Source organism: Homo sapiens, chromosome 8, assembly GCF_000001405.40.
Source record: "Homo sapiens chromosome 8, GRCh38.p14 Primary Assembly".
NCBI classification, from domain to species: domain Eukaryota; kingdom Metazoa; phylum Chordata; class Mammalia; order Primates; family Hominidae; genus Homo; species Homo sapiens.
The window spans coordinates 39,772,838-39,791,142 of record NC_000008.11 but is presented as its reverse complement, the minus strand read 5'-3'; the positions used below and the strand labels follow the sequence as shown (position 1 = coordinate 39,791,142).

The window sequence follows — 18,305 nt, the reverse complement described above, 5'->3', positions numbered from 1 at the left end:
TAAACAACTTAGGTTTTAGTTTATTAACATGAAACTTTAGCATAAGTCACCCCATTCGAGGCCTTACATCCTTTTTTTTTTTTAAATTGTAAGTGTTATAATTATATTTCTATATTTAGTTGTTAAAATCAAAGTTGAAAACTGTTTAGATGCATGGGATTTTCAAGTGGGGAGCACTCTGCTCTTTAGGTAAGCTCTGTATCTTCATATTTTTGTCATGGGGGAAAAGCACTATTAATTAGACATGGTTGGAGTGTTAATTGGGGACATTAAAATATTACATTTAATCCTCTCTTTTCAGGAGTTGTTCCCTTTCCAAAGGCCCTTTATTAGAACCTGCTTATAGTGGAGAGATGTACCACTGATCTCCTTGAAAAGAGGAGAAGATTTGGAAGTTCTAACTGCTTCTTTTTTGATGTTGTTTTTAAAAATCTTTATTGAAATGTAACTTATATTTTATGATGTTAAACTATGTGAAATGTAAAATTCCATGGTTTTTAGTATATTTACAGATTTGTGCAAACAATAATAACAATAATCTAATTTTAGAATATTCATCACCTTATAAAAAGACTTTGCATCCATTAGCAATTACTCCCAATCCCTCTGCCCTTACTTTCCTGTACCACAGGCCAAGCAATCACTAATTTACTTTTTGAACATACAGATTTTTCTGTTTTGCACACTTCATTTAAATGGTATCATACAATATGTAATGATTTATGACTATTTTTTCATTTACCGTAGTGATTTTCAGGTTTATACATGTTATGGCATGGATTAGTACTGCGTTTCTTCTTACTGTAAAATAGCCTATTGTGTCGCAATTTGATTACCTATTCATTAGTTGATGGACATTTCACTTTTTCCACTTTTAAGCTATTATGAATAACATTACTATAAACATTTGTGTACAAATTTTTGTGTGGCCATGCATTTTAACTCGTATTGGGTAGGTGTGAAGAATGAGAACTGTGAATTTTTGGATTATAAGATAACTCCTTTTCACGTTTGACAAACTGTCTTCAGAAATGGTTGCTCCATTTTATATTTCCATCAGCATGCATAAGAATTCCAATTTCTTCACATCCTCACCAACACTTGTTAATGTGTGTCTTTTGAATTACAGTGATTCTAATGGATGTGAATTTGTTTCTCTTTGTGGTTTTGATTTACATTTCCCTAATACACAATGAAGTTGAGAATATTTGCATTTGTGTACTAGTTATTTGCATATCTTATTTGGAGAAATGTCTATTCACATTATTTGCACATGTTTTAATTAGGTTGCCTTTTTGTTGTTAGTTGTAAATGTTCTTTATATATTCTATATACTAGATCTTTATGGGATATATATTTTGCAAATATTTTTACCATTTCTGAAGGTTGTCTTTTTGTTTTCTTGATGGTGTCATTTGAAGCAGGAAGTTTTTAATTTTGAAAACTTAATCTTTCTCCATTTGATTTTCTTGGATTCTTCTTCAAATATTAATTGACTGTAAATGTTAGAATCTATTTCTGGGCACTCAATTTCACTGATCTGTAAATCTAATAAAAGGCCAGTAACAAATTGTCTTGGTTACTGTAGTTTATAGTTAGTTTTGAAATTGAGATATGTGAATCCTCCAACTTTGTTCTTATTTAAAATTGTTATGGACATTCTGAATAATTTTCATTTTTCTGTGCTTTATTTCTGGATCATGATCCATGGGCACTTAAAAAACGCATATTTGCTGTTTTGTAGTGAAATGTGCTATAGATATCTATTGCCTTATAATTTTGTTATAGTCTTCAATATCTCTGTTGATATTTTTGCCTAGGTATTCTATTATTGAAAGCTGTTTACTTAAGTCTTTAAATACGATTGTTAAATTTTCTATTTCTCCCTTCAATTCTGTTATTTTTTGCCTTGTGTAATTCTCTGGCTCTGTTTTTGGTTGCATACATGTTTATAATTTTTATATCTTCCTGATAGACATCCTAGCTCTCTTATTAGTGATGTTTGTATGGTATATCTTTTAAGTTCCTTTACTTTTAGGTGAATTGTATCTTCAAAAATGTACTATGTCTCCTATACACACATCTAAACATTCCGGTTTAGAGCTAAACTTTTCTTTTAATAATTATTATAATTATTTTGTTGATAGTAGAATTATACCTTTTTATAATGTTTAAACTTTTTAAATTTCTATGGAAAAAATATAAATTCCAATTCATATTTTTCAGTTTTTATACTGAACATATAACATATAATTTGTATAAGAAAATAATGTCTAAAAACTAATATGTTTGTAATTTAAATAATTTATTACTTCACCAAATTGAATTTTAAATGAAACAATAACAATCATTAAATGTTAAGCAATATATATTTATATCTAAAATGTAATAATATTTTACAGTATAATCATATGGGGTCTGATACAACTGTTGTCGCTCAAAAAGTTTTCCAGTTGATTGGATTGACGAATGCTGTAAGTCTTTGCTTCTTAGTACTTTTGCACTTCTTGTGTTACTAAAACAATTTCTACACCTCATTATGACACTACATGAATCCACACGTTGTGTGGCATAAGGGAAATTAAGTTTTATTTTAAATTTTACTTATCTGAAGTGGGAATAATAATTGTATGCACATAATTTGGCTACTGTAAGACTTAAATTATATAAAGCATGGGGTATGGGGCTTCCTTAAATGCAAGCATTATAAAATCTCAAGTATTACTTTTATTATTAGTAACATTTTAAACTTACTAATCTACTTTAAAAGATGAAATGCAGACTTATAGTTTAGTTGTTTAATATTTATCATAAATTTGTTTTCAAACATATATATCTAATTTTTAAAAACTGTGACTTTTGAGCACACTTTTGTATGTTTTCTATTTTAGATTTTTGTTTCATTTAATATTACAATTATTCTGTCTTCATTGGAGCTTTGGATAGATGAAAATAAAATTGCAACCACTGGAGAAGCTAATGAGTTATTACACACATTTTTAAGATGGAAAACATCTTATCTTGTTTTACGTCCTCATGATGTGGCATTTTTACTTGTGTAAGGATATCTTGACATTATATAAAGTTTATCTGAAGAAAATTTATGCAATTTGACCGAATATCTTACTGTTGATAAATGTGTATTAAAAAAATCTATTTTTTTCTCACACACGCCATGTAAATATTTTTCACAACATGGTATTTATATTGGAATTACTGATATCAATTTATTTATTGGTTTGAAGTTAAAACTCACTCCCCAATCTTGTTCCCATATTACTTCTTTCCCTAGGGTATATACCACATTATTAAAAATCTCACACAATACATAAAATTTTCACAATATCTATTTGGAGAAACATCTGAATTCTATAAATATAGTAATTCAGCCTTCTTGTTATGATTTGTTGTTGTAAATTAAAAAGTAAGCAAAGTAATTGAAACACTATGTTTTAATATCTCTAATATATCTGCATTGTGCTTAAGGTTTTAGTACATTAGCCTTCCTTTCTATTTAATAGACTCTGTTTTTCTTTTATCAATATTCAGAATATATATACATATATTATGTGTGTATATATATGTGTATATATATATATAGAGAGAGAGAGTTTTTAAGATTAAACATGGAGTTTTAAACATTTTACTTTTTATCTTCTGTCCCATAAATATGACATGCTTTTTCATGTCTCTAGAAGGCTAATTTTGTCTGAATAATGAGAGACTTTAGTCCATAGAGTGATTCTGCTCATTAACAAGTTGCATTGCCTTAGCTTTTTACTTTTAAGGAATTTTATTTATTTTTATTATTTTTTGTTTTTTCTTCAGTTTTTCTGTTTTAGTTTTTTTAAATCTACATAAAATGAATCTTTGTTATGTTACAGAAATCCATATAAAATACACTTTGTTTTTAAAATTTATTTTATTGTTTTTAAAAGAAGCAGAAAGATTTAGTCACATCTTATGCTATGTTACATTAATGTTAGATGTAAATATTAATGATTATCATAAATGTAAAATTTGTCTTATAAAAATTCATATTAATTTTTACAAAATTATATGATTATGATCCCTTTTTAAACTTAAGTTACAGAGAAAAGTCAAATTATGTTGGTGCAACCTTTCAAGGGAAGATGTGTGATGCAAACTATGCAGGAGGTGTTGTTCTGGTATGGTATGGTTATGTATAGAAAGTATGCTACATAAATTAGTATACAGTTACACATTTTCATATTTAATTTTTATGTGTATTAAAATTTGCATTGTTCTAAGCATCTTTGTCACTGTTGCTGACAGAAATGTTTAAACTATAAGAAGTACTCATTCAATTCACTATGTATAAAAATTTTTCAATTTCCTATCATGAGTTCAAGATATCCTTTCTAGAAAGTTAAGGTAGTGAACTAGTTTAGTCTTACTGTAAAGTGCTCTTCAAGTTTTCATAATCTTAATATTTAATAATTAATTTCGGCTAAAACTTAGATTTTATATGTTTTCCTAATTATGTAGTGAACATAATTATTAACCAGATTAAAATAAAACATTTGAAAGTATCAGTCGCCTTAAAATGCTTCATAGGGTATAAGTAAAGAATAACGGAACCAAATGTCCTAATTGACATTAATTATCTAGTAGAGAATGTTAGTGTATTCAAAACTGATATATTTTTGCCGTTATTTCATAATACTATCACTATTCTGACAAACAGAACTTGCCTTTTTGTTGTGTGAGTGTTTGTATAATATCTGCAGGAGTTTCTTAGAGGCAATGAACAAATGAAGTGAAGCTAAGTGAAGCAATAAAGAGATGAATCAATTAAATGGAGATAAAAATAATTTCAACTTTTATTTTAGATTTAGGGCATACATATACAAGTTTGTCACCTGGGTATATTGTGAGATGCTAAGGTTTCGGATATGATTGATTCTGTCACCCAGGTACTGAGCATAGTACCCACTAGTTAGTTTTTCAACCCTTCCTCCACCCCCGGTAGTTCCTGGTTTCTAGTGTTACCATCTTAATGTCTAAGTGGACCCAATGTTTAGCTCCCACTTATAAGTGAGAACACGCAGTATTTGGTTTTCTGTTCCTGAGTTAATTCACTTAGAATAATAGTCTCTAGCTGCATCCATGTTGCTGCAAAGGCTATGATTCTTTTTATGGCTGCATAGTATTCCATGGTTTATATGTATCACATTTTCTTTATCCGATCCACCATTTACGGACACTTAGGCTGATTCCATGTCTTTGTTATTGTAAATAATGCTGTGATAAACATATAAGTGCCAGTGTCTTTTTGGTAGAATGATTTATTTTCTTTCTGTCTTTCTTTTTTTTTTTTTTTTTATTTGAGACAGAGTCTCTGTCATCCAGGCTGGAGTGCAATAGCACAATCTCGTTTCACTGCAACCTCCACCTCCCTGGGTTCAGGCAATTCTCCAGCCTCAGTCTCCCAAGTAGCTGGGATTACAGGTGCTCACCACCAAGCCCAGCTAATTTTTGTATTTTTGGTAGAGACAAAGTTTTGCCACATTGGCCAGGCTGGTCTTGAACTCCTGACCTCATGTGATCCCCCCGCCTTGGTCTCCCAAAGTGCTGGGATTGACTTATTTTCTTTCGAGTATATACCCAGTAATAGGGTTGCTGGATTGAATGGTAGTTCTGTTTTAAGTTATTTGAGAACTCTCCAAACTGCTTTCCACAGTTTCTGAACTAATTCTAGTCCCCCTAACAGTGTATAAGCAGTCTGTTTTCCTCATAGCCTCATCAGCATCTGTTGTTTTTTATTTTGTAATAAGAGCCGTTCTGACTGGTGTGAGATGGTGTTTCATTGTGGTTTTGATTTGCATTTCTCTAATGATTAGCTGGTTAGCCATACACAGAAGAATAAAACTAGATGCCTTCCTTTCACCATATGCAAAAATTAACTCAAGATGGATTAAATATTTAAATGTAACTCCTCAGACTATAAGGGGTTCTAGAAGAAGACCTAGGAAACACCATTCTGGACTTTGGCATTGCCAAATAATATATGACTAAGTCCTCAAAAACAATTGCAACAAAAGCAAAAATTTACAAGTGAGATTTAATTAAACAAAGGAGCTGCTGCACAACAAGAAATATCAACAGAGTAAACAGACAACCTACAGAAAGGGAGAAAATATGCACAAACTATACATCTGACAAAGGCCTAATATCCAGAATCTATAAGGTGGTGAAACAATTGAACAAGCAAAAAACAAACAACCCCATTAAAAAATGGGCAAAAGACATGAACAGACACTTCTCAAAAGAAGACATACAAATGGCCAACAACATATGAAGAAAATGCTCAACAAAAATTAATCTTCAATATTTATGAACAAGTTTGGAGAATGTGACTTATACTTATGGTCAAGTGATTTATCTGGTCTCAAATGCTGGAATTTGGCTTGTTTATTTCATCACATGCCACACTAAGAAATCACAAGACTCTCCCATGGAGAGTGCAAGGCCTTCACTGATTAACAAAGAGGAGAGCAGAACTGATTTTCTCTACAGGGCGGGCTTCCAGCATGGGCAACATAGTAAGAACTCATTTCTACAATAATTTAAAAAAATATAAATATTCGCCAGGCATGGTGGAAGGCCCCTGTAGTCCTAACTGAGGTAGGAGGATCACTTGAGCCTAGGAGTTCAAGGCTACAGGGAGCCAGGACTGCACCACTGCACTCCAGCCTGGGCAACAGAGCAAGACTCCATCTCAACAATCACAACAAAATTTTTAAATTAGAGGCACGCTAGCTTCCAGGAAGAAGAAAATGCCATAATTTACTGGACAATTTGTGCCTCATGGGCAGAGAAAAATGGTCTCTTTAGTAACGACAATTGGAAGAAAGCTTTTCTAGTATTCTTTCTTATTCTCCACAGTTATTTTGCCTGCCCTTTCACTGGAAAAATCAGCTATAAACAATGTTCACAGAAGTAAGATGTTGAAGAGAATAGTTGAAGTTCTGCCTTTTGATGTTTAAATTCCCACCACCCTTTCTACCTAATCCTGCAGGGCTGTAGATTGCAATTTAGAGTCTGTATCCTTCCAATGCTGCTCCTTCCTAAAAGTTTATATGTGAAACCACAGCACAAGTAGTTTTTGGTTGAGTACAAACAAGAAAGAATAATCAGCATATGATTTTTCACTTAATTTTTTTTTTTTCTTTTCGAGACAGAGTCTCGCTCTGTCACCCAGGCTGGAATGGGGTGGCGCGATCTTGACTCACCCCGCCTCCCAGGTTCAAGCGATTCTCCTGCCTCAGCCTCCTGAGTAGCTGGGACTACAGGTGCCCGGCACCATGCCTGGCTAATTGTTTGTATTTTTAGTAGAGATGGGGGTTTCACCATGTTAGCCAGGATGGTCTCGATCTCCTGACCTTGTGATCTGCCTGCCTCAGCCTCCCAAAGTGCCGGGATTACAGGAATGAGCCACTGTGCCTGGCCTTAAAATATTTAATTGACAAACATCATATATATTCAAGGGTTACAATGCGACAATTATACGTCTTTAGATATAGTCATGTTAGGGGTCACGGTTTCAGCATAAGAATTTGGAGTGGGAGGGAGACAATTTGGTCCATAGCAGTAGTCTAAAGGAAGGATGTTCTAGAAGAAATAATGAGGAATATTTAATTATGATGAAGGGGAAGATAGCAATCATAATGTTGTATGCATATAATTACATTGCTTCAAAATATATAGAGCAAATGTGAGAGAATAAAGGAAAAAGAGGTCCATAATCATATTTAAGAATGGAAAAAAACAACCTACCTCAGCAATGTATTTTTTCATTTTATCAAAATATATATTTCTAAAATCTTATACCAAAGAGAAACATTGCTAATGTAGAGTATTTACCAAAGCAAATAATATGGTGAGAAATAAAGCAGTATCAATAAATATTAAATGATTGAAATCTTACAGAGAAAAGTGTCTGAGCATTGTGGATTTAAATGAGAACCAACTAATAGAAATATCACTTAAAAATCTCGAAAGATTTGCAAATAAAATAATGAGATAACTCATTTTGAGCTAAGTGACATTAAAAATACAGGGTATCTAAACTTATGGGATCCCAAAAAGGCAGAGCTGAGAGGTAGTGCATTTATAGCTTTAATGTATAAATAAAAATAAGGTCAGTTTGAATGTAGATGATCTAACTCCATCTCCAAAAAGCATTATAGATGGTGAGTTAAGCTAAGAGACGCTATAAAGTAGGAAATAAGTTTTAAGGATAATATTGGCTATCAATGAAATACAAAATATAATGAAGAAAATCATCAAAGCTCAAACTAATTTTTTGAAGATATATACAAGTTATAACAACCTACCAAAATGGGTATCTTATTTCAAAAAAAGCTGAAAAAACAAATTATCCAAATATTAGTTGAATAAAGGGACATGATCACCACAGATCATATAGACATTACACATATAAGACGGCTTATCCTCAACCAATTAATGGCAATAAATATGGATAAAATTTTATGAATAATAAATTTTCTCAATTAAATAGAAAAGTAAATCTGCATCACCATTGAACCATTGGCATAGTTGAGTCTCCAATTAAAGCACTTTTCTCCAAAACAAACAAAACATCTAGGCCCACATGATTTCCAAAAAATGGCTCCAAAATATTTAATGCTTGTAATAAGTTACTTTAGATAATACAAAAGGAGGGGCTAATTCTCACCTTGTTTTATGATTTGAGATTTATGTTAACTATATGTTAACAAAAAGAATTTTGCAATATATCAAAAGAGTATGACATGGTGAACACATAGAAATTATTCTAGGAATACAAGATGAATTTTATATTTGAAATCAATCATTATAATCTACTTTATTAAAAAATAGATACAGAAGATACATTTGTTAAATTTAGAACCTACTTAGGACAAAAAAAAGCAAGATTGAATACTCTCAGCAAACTTAATGTAAAAAGAGACATCTTCAAGAAATGTTTGCCCATTCTAAGATCATGAAGCTATTCTATCCTCTAACACAAGCTTGATTGATTTGCCTTTCAATGTAGATGTATAATCCACATTAAAGAAATTTGTTTGGTGTAAAATAGGGGACAGAATCAGTTAGCTCACATTGGATAGGTAATTGCTTCATAACAACTTATTTAAAAGGTTAGTTTTCCTCCAAATAAATACAGTTGTGCCTTTGTAATAGAGATCAAGTCGCCATATCGCTGGCCTCTTTCCAGAATCTTTTATGACCATTGGTGTTTTTGTATGTCCTTCCACCAACACCACGTTGTCATAATGACTCTACCTCGATAGTGAAACATCAAAAATGGTAGTGTAAACCCTACTAGTCTGTTATTCTTCAAGACTGTTTTAGGTATTCCAAGTCCTCTGCATTTCCATTTTAAAATCAGCTTGCAATTTCAACAAAACTGTTTGATTTTTATTGCTTTTTATGGAAACTTTAGATCAAGAGAGATTAGTATCAACAATATTGAGGCATTTTATCCATCAAATTCATAAACATATTGTGGAATATCCATATCCTGTAGTGCACTACACAGAAATTAAAAGAAGTACAGTTACACTCAAAATTAATGAATTTCCAAAACTATATTTTTAGAAAAACTAGCCAGAAATAAAATAATAAATACTTAATGGTGCCATTTTTATGAAGCTAAAGTGCAAGTAAAGATAAGCCATTGTACTGAGATCAAAATAAAGATTCTATTTTATGTGGAGGTAGTGCCTGGAAACTTGCTGAAAAGAACTTCCTGAGTGATGAAAATATTTTGTGTCTAGTACAAAGTAGTAGTTATACAGGTTCATGTGACACACACACACATGCGCACACACACACAAGTACACACGTATGCACTTCCCCAATACATGTGTATATATGTGTTTTCACATAAGTATACATAAATTATACCTACATGAATGTGTACATATGGGTACATAACTACACATAAACATATAAACACACACATTGATATGTATATGAAACTGTATCAAATCCAAAACATTATTTTAAAGGTATGAAAGGAACTTACAGTGAGCCAAGATGGCGCCACTGCACTCCAGCCTGGGCGAGAGTGCGAGATTCCATCTCAAAAAAAAAAAAAAGAAAAGGTATGAAAGCGCCACACAAAACAAGCTTTATAATAATTCCAAAGGGCAATAATTGAAAGAGATAACAATGTTTTAGTTTCAACTGTAAAAGGCAAAGATTATTTGATCGCATTTTCTCTACAAGTTTCAAACCCATTTGTAATATCACAGGAATTTTAACCCCTAAAGGGTAAGAGAAAGACCAAAAAATAACAACCATAGGATAATTTATATATCAATACTAGTATAAAGCAGCAAAATATTATTTAAATAAAAATCCATATGTATTTTGTTTCTATTACTTAAGATGAAACAAAATCTTAGTAGCATTATATAATGATCCTGAACATATATGTAGGTATATTCTAAAAATCTACTGAAATAGAATGCAAACAGTGAAACAGCTGTGAATATAGGCAAAATAAATTATTAAGTGTTCTTTCAATGATATTCTGGACTTGACTTTCTATTGACTGGGCTGTTTGCAATTATTGGGTGGCAGAGGTTAATGTGCAGATTTTTGTCTGGTAGAAATGCAAATAATTTCTCTCTGGTGGATGAGATAACCCACATATTATTATTCATTATTCTCTAAAACACTAATCAGTTTTGTATCTAAAACCTACAATTCTATCCTAACATGTTTATTAATATACTCCTAGCTTCTCAAATGCTCTTTGATATGGTTTGGCTCTGTCCCCACCCAAATGTCATCTTGAATTGTAGCTCCCATAATTCCCATGTGTCATGGGAGGGACCCGGTGGGAGGTATTGAATCATGGGGGTGAGTCTTTCCCATGCTGTTCTTGTGATAGTGAATAAGTCTTATGAGACCTGATGCTTTCATAAAGGGGAGATCCCCTGCACGCGTTCTCTGGCCTGCCACCATGTAAGATGTGCCTTTGCTCTTCCTTCCTCTTCCACTATGACTGTGATGCTTCCCCAGCCATGTGAAACTGTGAGTCCATTAAACCTCTTTTTCTTTATAAATTACCCAGTCTTGGGTATGTCTTTACCCGCAGCATGAGAGAAGACTAATACACTCTTTGAATTGGCGTGAACATCTTACCAGTTTCTTGACTAAATAATGAGTTGAACAAAACATAACATGTGTTCATTAAAGAAAAAAAAGGCATAGATAGAATGTTGATACATAAAATTAGAGACGAGTGTTTTTCTAAAAAAACTTATATGGCAGGCACATTTATAGAGAATGCTCACATGTTATGCAAAAAACAAGTCTCAATAAATCCCCACTTGTTTACAAATTTCTCAGTCTGATGATTGGCATATAAGAAGCCTAATAAATGCTTGTTGCTGTTATTATTTGAAAACTATGGTTCTAAACAGGTATATTCACCAAAAGAAAATTGTCTGCTCTGTTGAAATTTTTTGTCCCTAAATATATATTTTTTAAATTCAGTGTTAAATATAGTTGTGCTTTATTGTCACTTGCCTTTCAAATCAGAGATAATAATAACAAGAACCTGTAGGAAATTCTCTTACTGCTTTCCATATCTTTAAAATTTTTTTATACTAGTCTGGACTGAGCTGTGTCCCCCCGAATTCATATGTTGAAGCCTTAACCTCCAATGTGACTATATTCAGAGATAGGACCTGAAAGGTTAAATAGGTCATGGTGGGGGGCTCTAATTCAATAGGACTGCTGTCCATAGAAGAGGAGGAAGAGACAGCAGAGATAAGGCTCTCCATGCGCACATAGAGGAAAGGCCAGCAAGAAGGCAACCTATCACAAGCCAAAAAGGTCTCAGCAGATGCCAACCAACCCTGCCAGCACCCTGATCTTGGACTTCTAGAACTGCGAAATTTCACAGAACTGCAAGGAAATAAATTTCTCTTGATTAAACCATCAAGTCTTTGGTATTTTGATCCTATAATGATCAAAGACATTTGAAAGTGTCTTTGAAAGGAAATACAATAAAAGGAAAGATCAAAAATATATGTACTAGTAAGAATACAGGGAAGGCAAGAGCAACTGAACATGAAGGAAAAAAAAAACCCTGCTTTTATACAAATGCCTAAAGTGAAATCACTGGATCTTGTTGTTTCCATCTTAGTGAATTATAAGAGATAACAGGAAACAGGAGAAAAAGAGAAAAGTATAAAGATGCATTTATGGGTCAGTAAGCCTTTTCTACAATATCTCAAAAATAGGGGGTTTAAAATAACAGTACCAGTATTAATATACTACTACAGTATTTAGCTTCTTGAAATTTAGCTGAATCCTTCAATTTATTCCCTGTAGAATCATTCTCTCTCCTTCTCCTTCCCCTTCTTCTCCTTCTTTTCCTTCTCCTTTTCATTCCTTTCTTCTTTCTCCTCCTCCTCGTCCTCCTCCTTCTTCTTCCTAACACTGTCTCTCTGAAAGCAGATGATACATTTAAAATGTGGAAATTTGATAAATGGAGTATTTATCCATGTGCATGCAAAATGTAGAGCCTTTGCAGTACCTCCACACAAGTAATAAAGAACTTTAATTGGTACCAAGTGTTGATGGAGGGAAGAGAGTCATTTTATCAGAGTCACAGACAGAAGGTAGATGTCCCATCAAGGGTTCAAAGAGACGTAAGCATCCTTGCAATGATGTAGTAAATACCTCACTTTCATTCACATCTCATTCTCTTCTCTCCATTAGAAAAAATCAAGGTAAAACTCAAGGGCAAAGCATCCCTCTGACATAATCCATTTGTGTCATCTTTTTGGGGTGGAGGGCAAGGTAGAAAATGATGGAAAACTGACTTAGAGAGGCAACAGAAGAAATCAAAATGTATACCTAGAAACCTATCATGAAGTATATTCATCAAAATGTTAGTAGATATATTTGAAGGGGTAGCAGGATATGTGGATTTTTCCCAAAATTCATGTTATAGTGTGATCAAAATGTGCTATAATAAGCATCTTACTCTTACAAAAAGAGAAGTTATAAATTTAAATTATATGTTTATAATTTAATATATAATTAATATATAAATTATATATTAAAATTATATAAATATAAATTATATATTTTAGTTTTCCCAATAAAATTGAAACAACTGAAAAGTCAGAATTCTTATATCAGTCATTATTACCGTAATATTAATTAATTCAGTGAGTTAACTTATGAGTTTATAAAAACATTTATGAAATGGCTATATAAAATATTATCATTGAGGAATCAATTTTTTTAATTTTAATTTTTATTATGGGTACACAATAGTTATACATATTTATGGGGAGATGTGATGTTTTGGTACAGGCATACAATGTGTAATGATTAAATTAGGATAATTGGAATATCCATCACCTCAAGCCTTTATCATTTCTTTGCATTAGGAACATTTCAATTCCACTCACATATTTCAACATATACAGTAAGTGTTGTTAACTGAAGTAACACTATTGTCCTAGAAATACTAGACCTTATTCTATTTAATTGTGTTTCTCTACTCATTAAACCATCTCCTCTTTATCCCCCACTTTGTACTACCCTTCCCAGCCTCTGGTAATGACCAAATTTCATAATTTGACACTATGTTTTTCTATGCATTTATCTTTAGATATTATCTTTTGTGAATATAAATATGACTGTAATTGTTGTTAGACATAGCTAACAAATTCCTGGGGCAATTTTTTTTCTTTGTCTGAGGCCACCAAATGAGTCATCCATTTACATACCGATAAAACTTCAGATTTTATTTTTCATAATTTTCTTACATTTATAATGAGTTAGACCAACAAGGATGGCACTTTTGGGATAACAGATGCCCCTATTCCATTTTATCATGTGATCTTTAATAATTGCATTGTTCTCCCAGTAAACAAAATAATCTCCCAAAACGTGTACATCTATTTTTTTTTCTCAGCACCCCAGAACCATAAGTCTGGAATCACTTGCAGTTATTTTAGCTCAATTATTGAGCCTTAGTATGGGGATCACTTATGATGACATTAACAAATGCCAGTGCTCAGGAGCTGTCTGCATTATGAATCCAGAAGCAATGTAAGATTTCTGACTTTTATACTTTACATATATAGTTTAATGTAATTTTAATGTATTTAGTTGAAGAAAGTTTAAGTTGTTAAATAATAATGGCGATCAGCTGTGACTGAGGACTCCAGGACCAAAATGTGTATTCCAATGCCCACGATGCATATTTATCTCAATATCACTTGTAATCAAATGTCACACTGGCTTTCTCACATGTGATCTAACACTACATTTATCAATATGTTTACTTGTATAATTTTACAATTTGATGCATAATTTGATAAGCCAAATGCAAGCTTGAGATCACTACACAAAAAGTATTTATTAGTATGAACTTGTCTGCATGAGTCTCCTTCAACTTGCCTTGGTTCAGCCTGAAGTCTCAGCATCTGTTGATTTCAGAGATGCTGCCATTCAGCTTTTTCTTTGTCATGAGAGAAAGTCGTTTGCAGTATTCTAATCAGGCCTCAACGATCTAGTGAATTTTTTTTGCTGATATCAACATTATTCTTATAGTACATTATGAATGTTTGTAGAAATACGATCAAATAGCCAGGGGATTTAAGGAAACCAGGCAGTAACTGGAGCCAGCCTTTTATCTTTCTGATGGATATTCTTGGAGGCATTCTTTGTTTCTCAGATGTGTTAGAGAATCAAGCCTCATTGCCTGCAGCAGGAAACATCTCACTGTCTCCATTCCCGCACTGCTGCTCCCTAAAATATTTGTGCTTAAGTTCTTGTCTCAGGCTCTGATTTTTGGGGTGGCAGGGATGGGGGACCTGTCCTAAAATAGTTACCCCAGAGTGGCTTTAGAAAACAAACCTTTATGAAAGGATTGTGGGCCTACATCAATACATGATCTGATAGCAACAAGGGCACCTCTGGCAAAAGATAATGTGAAAAGTGCACTGCAGCAGGTCCAGGCTGTGGTGCAAGACGGCTTGTCTTTGGTTCTTGTGATTATTTAAATACAATGTTACTAAGGATATTCCTGGTAGATTACATACATGTGGAATCTCTGGCAAGTATCAGTAGGAGATTTGCAGTGCAGACCTGTAGTTCTGCTATAGCTTCCAATGGGCTATTGGGCTCTTGCAGCCTTGAGCATGCATCTAGGAAATAGTAAGTTGCTATGTTATTGAAGTTTACTGTTTTCATCATAAAAGAGGTGTTTTAGAGCCACAAAAATATATGTATAAGATCAAGTGAGCATATCAATCTATCTGATGACCAAAATGGTAAATCTGGGAGCAAGCTAGAGAAGGTCCAGAGAGTACAAGTAAATAAGGGAATAGGGATCCCAGATCTTCATGTCACCTACATCTATTGCACCAATATTTCTCAGTCACCATACACTAATATCCTTGTAGGGATTTTCTAAAACTGGTTGATGGAGAAAAACAAACCTCAGTCCAATTTTAATATGTTAGTTGAAGTATTTTTTAAAAGTCAGTTTCATATAGAGTCCTATTAGATTTAGACCTAAAGACTGTGGGGATGGTAAATGTCCCCATGCCCCATGCACATATTTGTAAACAATATATCGGGTTTTCCACCTTGTATGAGAGAAGTGCCAGAGATTGGAATCTACACAGATTCCTATGCTGTGGCAAATAGCTTGGATACTTGGTGAACGATCTAGATGCTATAAAACTGGACATTTAAAGACAAGAAAGTGTAGGGAAGAAGTATGTGGATTTATTTAGAATGGGCACAACACATTCAGATGTTTATTTTCAAGTTCCACCAGAACAGCGTTTACTTCAAAAGAAGCACTCAAGGACCAGGTCTTTGACATCTATGAATGTCAACCAGCCTTTTTCCTAGGACACTCTAAAAAAAAGTCTTAAAATGAAATGTACGCACTCCTTCTCTAGGAGCAAACTTCAGCCACTTTAGTGAAACACCAGATTCCTGACCAACTAGGGAAAATTCTGTAAGATATTCTGTACATTTTCCTGTGGGCCCCGCAGAAAGAAGTCATTATTGCCATCTCAATAATACATGCTGATATCGACCTTTCCTCCCCCTCTCTTTCTTCATCCTTACACCCTTATTCCTGCTTCCTAGAATCACCACCCACATAAAATTCCTACAATCAAGTTCATGCTTTAGAGTATTTTCTCCTGGCCAATCTAAACAAAGACAGATGACATTTATATAGTTTGTATTAATAATGTTGAGCATTATTCATTAAACTTTTATTTATCTCAACCACAATATAGCTGTTTACAATGTTGATTATAATGATTACAATAGTTGTAATGGTAAAGAAAAGATAGGAAGGATAAGAAAATCACAAATATAAGAAGTTCTTTGGGCCCTCCACATCCTCTTGGATAATGTCAAAGTATTCTCTGTTCAATTTTGAAACAGGTAATTTTGTTAGGTTGCCTGATAAGTTATTCCCATCATGGTTGGGACCTGTTCCTTAGTTTTGTTTTTTATTTTTCCTTTGGAAATAGGTTTCTTATTGTTTTTCTAATTGCACCATGTTTATGAGACTATGAAATTTGCAATTGTTTGTGACAAGTATATAGAAATGGTATTGATTAATTTTTATTGAGCTTGTATCCTGCAGCTTTGCTACACTAACATATTCTATTCTGGAACTTCTAATTTAGTCTCATGAGAATTGTATTCACATGTAATTATATATTATAAATACATCTTCCTTTTTGATCTTTATATTTTTAAAACATCTATATCTTGCCTTATCGCAGTGCTTAGGGCCTCGAGTACTATTTAAAACAAAAGTTTGATGTGTGGCTGTCTTTGTTTCACTCTGATTTATGAGCAAGACTTGTAACTTTTCACCAATAAATACATTAACTGAAGGTTTTACAGAGAGACTTTTAATCAGATTGAGAAAGCTTTGTAACCCTCATTTATCAGAGTTTTCATTATGAATATATTTTATCAAATATTGAGATGCTCATGTGTTTCTTCTACTTTATTCTGTTGATACATTGAAATACATTTTATTCATGTTTAATTGTTTAAATAATCTTGCTTTTCTGGGATAAACTGCATCAAGGAATGAGGAATTATCCTTTTAATGTATTAATCCTTTTTGTAGCTGGATTTTTTCCCCTAATATTGGCAAAGTATATTTGCCTGTATATTAATGAGTGATACAGATCTTTAGTAGTAATTCTCTTGCAATTCCTTTGACTGGTTTTAGTATCACAGTTACACGGGCTTCATATAACTTTCTAAAAGAGATTTTGTACTATTGATACTATTTCTTTCTAAATTGTTTGATAGCATTTATCAGTGAAGCTGTCCGGAACTGGATAACTCTTTTTGGAAAGGTGTTTAATTGGTCATTTTTGAGATATTTAGATTTTGGTTATTTTTCCTTTTCTAATAAATATTTTGTTTCCTCAAAATTGATTAATTTTTCATAAAATCTTTTATAGCTTTCATTTATTTTCCCCTAAAAGTCAATGGGATAATTTGTGATATGCCCTCTTTTATCTCTGGTACTGATCATTTGAGTTTCTTTTTATAATCACTCTAACTTAGATTTTATCAAATTAATTAATTTTTTTAAAGAATCATATTTTAATTACATTGACTCTTTCCCATGGCCTATCTACTTTGTTTTCCTTTATTTCTACTTAGTTTGTGGTAAGTTTATTCATCTTTTTTCTAGATTTTTAATGTAAAAATTCAAATAACCTCCCTTCTTTTTGTGTAAACCCTTTAAAGCTGTGCATTTCTCTCTAATCACAAGTTCCTAGAACTTGACCTTCAATTACACACCACACGTTTTTGATACTTTGTGTTTCATTTCCAGTTAGTTGAAATATTTTCAATTTTTTGTGATTTCTTCTTTGTCTAGCTATTTTAGATGTAGGTTAGTTGATTTTCAAATATTTGTGGATTTCCTAAGTATCTTTTTGTTATCTGATTTAATATCTGCTGTGGTCCAAAAATATACTTTCTAGATGTCTATCTTTTGAATTTCATGAGACTTATTTAATAATTGTGTTTAGTTTTGTCTTTCTTTGTTTTTCATTTTTTCAAATTGATTCCTTCCATCATGTACAACAGAAAGTGAGAGAATGTGTTGAGGTGTTATTTTTCTGTTTTTAGTTAGTAATTAAGATGCCTGTAGTAATTCCTTCAAAATTATATTTAAATATAGGTTATATTAATATTCTTCCTAGCGAATCGTACTTTTTTTAAAATAC

At 32.4% G+C, this 18,305-nt stretch overlaps 1 protein-coding gene across 6 annotated transcripts in view; it reads left to right on the top strand.

Moving 5' to 3' along the window:
• The window catches only part of ADAM2 (ADAM metallopeptidase domain 2), a 94,493-nt gene that overhangs the window by 47,085 nt on the left and 29,103 nt on the right, over positions 1 to 18,305 (top strand). For 4 of the 6 annotated variants that reach the window (NM_001278113.2, NM_001278114.2, XM_005273468.1 and 1 more), the window contains 4 exons: positions 2,403 to 2,474; positions 2,892 to 3,058; positions 4,088 to 4,169; positions 13,982 to 14,118. In NM_001278113.2, coding sequence (NP_001265042.1) covers positions 2,403 to 2,474; positions 2,892 to 3,058; positions 4,088 to 4,169; positions 13,982 to 14,118 — 458 coding nt within the window. The remainder of the gene's footprint in view (positions 1 to 2,402; positions 2,475 to 2,891; positions 3,059 to 4,087; positions 4,170 to 13,981; positions 14,119 to 18,305) is intronic. The other 2 variants (NM_001437784.1, XM_011544479.1) reach the window with 1 other exon arrangement.